The sequence below is a fragment of the Homo sapiens genome, chromosome 16 (assembly GCF_000001405.40).
Source record: "Homo sapiens chromosome 16, GRCh38.p14 Primary Assembly".
NCBI classification, from domain to species: Eukaryota; Metazoa; Chordata; class Mammalia; order Primates; family Hominidae; genus Homo; species Homo sapiens.
This window is the reverse complement of record NC_000016.10, coordinates 49,367,678-49,372,323: the sequence shown is the minus strand read 5'-3', so window position 1 is coordinate 49,372,323 and position 4,646 is coordinate 49,367,678. Positions and strand designations below refer to the sequence as shown.

Below are 4,646 nucleotides of genomic sequence, written 5' to 3'. Positions count from 1 at the left end.
GGCTAGAGTCGGCTTACTGCAACCTCCGTCCCCCAGGTTCAAGCGATTCTCCTGCCTCAGCCTCCTGAGTAGCTGGGATTACAGGCGCACTGTAATTTTTGTATTTTTAGTAGAGACGGGGTTTCACCATGTTGGCCAGGCTGGTCTTGAACTCCTGACCTCGTGATCCACCTGTCTCGGCCTCACAAAGTGCTGGGATTACAGGCGTGAGCCACCGTGTCCGGCCTTATTATCCAATATCAAACTTTTTCTTCCTGTTATTGAGTTAAATATAAACCAAATAATATGCATGTGATATTTTACATCTGGATTTATTAATTTTGCAATATATTTGTAAGATTTTAGAAATAATGAATTATTTTGTCTTTGTTTATATGGTAATGTCTTTATTTTACCTTCATTCTTGAAGAAAGATTTTCTGGATAATGGAACTCTTGGTTAACAGTTTTTTCATTTGATTGCTTTTTGCCCTCTATTGTTTTATATGGGAAGCCAGCTGTTAACTGCATTTTTGCCTCTTGTAGTAATAAGTCATTTTTCTCTTGCTTGTTTTTCTATTTCTTTCTGTCTTCTGACTGCTTGCCTATGATTTGTCTAGGTGTGGATCTCTACATATTTATCCTACTTGAGGTTTATTGAACATTTTGGATGTGTATTTAATTTTTTTTTAAGTCAAATTCTGAAAGTTTTTGGCCACTGGTTTTTCCATATGTTTTCTGCTCCTTCCTTTTTATTTTCTACTTCTGGTTTTCTCATTATACATCTGTTGGCTTGATGTTGTCCCACTGGCCCCTATGGTTCTGTTCCTTTTACTTCAAACATTTTTTTTCTCTGTCTTCCTCAGATAGATACTTTCTATCACTCTATCTTCGAGTTCATTGATCTCTTCCTCTGCCATATATAATCTGTTGTAATAGATCTTCACAGTAAAATTGTAATTTATGCTTTTCAACACCAGAATTTCCATTTCTTTCTTTATAATTTCTATCTCCTTATTTAGAATCTTTCTCTGTTGATTGTTTATTATCATAATTTTATTTACAAATTTAAACAGTTCTTTGAGCATATTTAGAGTAGCTATTTGAAATCTTTGCTAAATACAGAATCTAGGAAAACTCAGAGACAAGTTCTACTATCTGCTATTTTCCTCAGTATATGTCACACTTTCCTGTTTCTTTGCATATCTTGTAATTTTCTGTTGAAAACTGGGCATTGAAAATATTGCAATGGATATGTTAATTGATATGTCATGAATATGTTAATTATCTTGATGTAGCTGTTCCATAATGTATCATTATGTTGTACACCACTAATATATACAGTTTTATTTGCCAATTAAAAAAATTACAGCAACTTTGGATTCTGATTTCCCCCACTCCATGGTTTATTGTGAATCATGAAATTGCTATCTGGGAATCTTGTCTTCTCTGTTGTGTGAAGCTGCTGAAATTTCTGATGAAATTTCTTACATTCTTGCTTTTTAAAAATATTTAAGGCTAGCTTCCTAAGCATTATCTCTGTGTCTGCATATCTAATTGGACAGAGATTGTGCTGAACCACCTTAAACAAGTAAAGTCATCTGACATCTGCTGATGAATCTACATGTGAGTATGGGAGCTGTATCAGTTATCTTATTGCTGTTTAATGTTTAAGTTTGGTGGCTTAAAACAAGAGAAAGATTTTACAGTTTTTGTGGGTCGGGAATCTGGGTGTGCATTAGCTGGGTTCTCTGGCCCAGGCAACAATCAAGGTGGTGGCCAGGTTGCAGTCATCTGAAGGTTTGACAGGGGAAGGATCTGCCTCCACACCCCTCATGTGATTGATGGCAGGATTGGGTTCCTTGCAGGCCATTGAACAGAGAACATCCCTTCTTTGTCACATGTTACACCCTTTGTTCCTTGTAACATGTGCCTCTTCATAGGATAGCTCATGACATGCAGCTTGCTTCATCAGCACAGGAAGGGGGAAGAACCAGAGAGAGAGTGAGAGCAAGGCAGAAGTCAGTCTAACCTTGGAAATGACATCCACCATTTTTGCCATATTAGCATGTGATTTTTTGGAAGCAAGTCACTATGTCAGCTTCACCCAACATGAGGGGATTACACAGGGTGCTAATACCGAGGACAGCATTTATAGGAGCCATTTTAGAAGCAGCCTACCATAGGAACACATTCAAACTTCAGTTCATTTTCATGCTTTCTCTATTTTTTGCTTTCTACTGGGCTCTTTCTCATCTCCTCTGCATATCTGTGCAGCCTCAGAGTTGGCCAGCAGAGTCTGGCTAGACTGGGCCCTTTCTGGTTTCTGCTATGCAACTATGCAGCTTTAGCCAGAAACATTTACCCCAGTCATGACTGCAACCTCAGTCTAAAGGACCTTTTGGCCCTCCTGCTTTTCTGCCTTGGCAACTTTTACTTAAACCAACATGGCTGCCAAGAGTGGATGTTGGCCAGTGCTCTAAGTCAAATAAGCTCCCTTTAACTGCAGCAGAGAAACTGCCTCGCCTCCCAGTGTGCCCCACCCTGGAGGAGCCTCCCTACTGACTTAGCTAGCAGCCGGAGATGGGAGCAGCCTTAGGCTAGAATGCCACAGATTCTCACTGTTGTTACCCAGATTTCTGCAGTTCTCAAGCATAAATGTTGCTCCAACTGTTGTATGCCTTCAGTTGATTTCTGGAGTGCTGTATGATGGTTTTGATCAATTTTTTGGAGCTTTATAGTTGCTTTTCGGGGAGAGCTTGGCCATAGACACTGTCCCTTGCTAATGCCCTTTTAATACATTTTGTAATACCTTGTTTGCTATTTGGAAATGAAATCCATATAAAACTTAACTTATCTGCATACATACATTTTAAAAAATTGCTATAATCCTCTAAACTAATATAAAAAAGAAAATTTTAACAATACAGTCTCTTTTTGGGTATATTTCAATATTATAATGTCTGGTCACAAATAAAATAATTGATAATAATTTAGTCATTCCACAATATATCATCACGTTGTTTATTATTAATGTATACAACTTTATTTGCCAATTTAAAAATATTGTAGCAAATTTGGATTATGATTTTCCCCTAAATAGAGTCTTAGGATCTCTATTTTAATGTTAATCCTGGTCAGTTGTGTTGACCAAAAAAAGAAAACTCTGTAGTATATTTAAAGAGTTTTATTCTGAGCCAATATGAGTGACCATGGCCCAGGAAACAGTCTCGAAAGATCCTCAGAACATGTGCCTGCGGTGGTTGGGTTACAGTTTGGTTTTATACATTTTAGGAAGATAGAAGTTATAGGCAAAGGCATAAATCAATATATGTAAGATATATAATGGTTCAGCCCAGAAAGGTGGGACATATATATACATATATTTGTTTGTTTGTTTGTTTTGTTTGAGACAGAGCCTCACTCGGTCACCCAGGCTGGAGTAAAGTGGTGTGATCTTGGCTCACTGCAACCTCTGCCTCCTGGGTTCAAGCAATTATCCTGCCTCAGCCTCCTGAATAGCTGGGACTACAGGTGTGTGCCACCATGCCTGGCTAATTTTCCTTATTTTTAGTAGAGACAGGGTTTCACCATGCTGGCCAGGCTGGTCTTGAACTTCTGACCTCGTGATCTGCCCACCTCGGCCTCCCATAGTGCTGAGATTACAGCTATAGTGCTGAGATTACAGGTGTGAGCCACCGCACCTGGCAGGTGGGATATCTTTTTTTTTTTGAGGTGGAGTCTTGCTCTGTCGCCCAGGCTGGTGTGCAGTGGCACGATCTTGGCTCACTGCAAGCTCCACCTCCTGGGTTCACGCCATTCTCCTGCCTCAGCCTCCTGAGTAGCTGGGACTACAGGCACCCACCACCACGCCCGGCTAATTTTTTTTATTTTTAGTAGAGACGGGGTTTCACCAGGCAGGTGGGACATCTTGAAGTGGAGTGGGGTGGTGCTTACAGGTCACAGGTGGATTTTCTAATTAGCAATAGGTTGAAAGAGTTAAGCTAAAGACTTGAAGTCAGTAGAAAGAAATGCTTGAGTTAAGATATAGGGGGTTGTGGAAGCCAAGTTTCTTGTTATGTAGATGAAGTCTCCAGGTAGCAGGCTTCAGAGAGAATAGATGGTAAATGTCTCTTGTAGACCTTAAAAGGTATCTGACTCTTAGCTAATTTCTTCTAGATCAGGGATAGGCCTGGCTGCATTAACGGAGGTTCTTTACAGATGCAAGCGTTCCCCTACAAAAGATGGCTTTGCAGGGCCATTTCAAAATATGTCAAAGAAAAATCTCTTGGGATAAAATAGTTTCATTTCCTTCAGGGTCTTCTATCTGTCATGTGATGCTATACCAGCGTCAGGCTGGAATTTGGTATCTTATTGCCAAAGAATCTGTTTTGTGAAACTTGGGATCTCTATTTTAATGTTAATTCTGGTCAGTTGTGCCTAAACTCCATAAAGGAGGGACTATACTGAGGCGTATTCAATCTTCCTTCTTACCAAGGCCAGGAATTCAATTTTTCAGGTTTCTCTTGTCCCAGAGAGGTCTGTACAGTCAATTAGGGGGACTTAGGATTTTATTTTTGGCTTACAAAGGTAATCCCCCAAATTTCCTAAATGTCTTTTCGGGAATGGTACAACCCCACTGAAAACTAACAGCATAATCAAAACTGT

At 39.6% G+C, this 4,646-nt stretch overlaps 1 annotated feature.

Annotated features, from left to right (window-relative positions):
• Positions 2,294 to 2,875: an enhancer, noted in NCBI's record as "NANOG-H3K27ac hESC enhancer chr16:49403360-49403941 (GRCh37/hg19 assembly coordinates)". NCBI's record gives its function as "activates a minimal SCP1, AML or CMV promoter by ChIP-STARR-seq in naive H9 embryonic stem cells {active_cell/tissue: H9 hESC(naive)}" and the evidence as "EXISTENCE:reporter gene assay evidence [ECO:0000049][PMID:30033119]".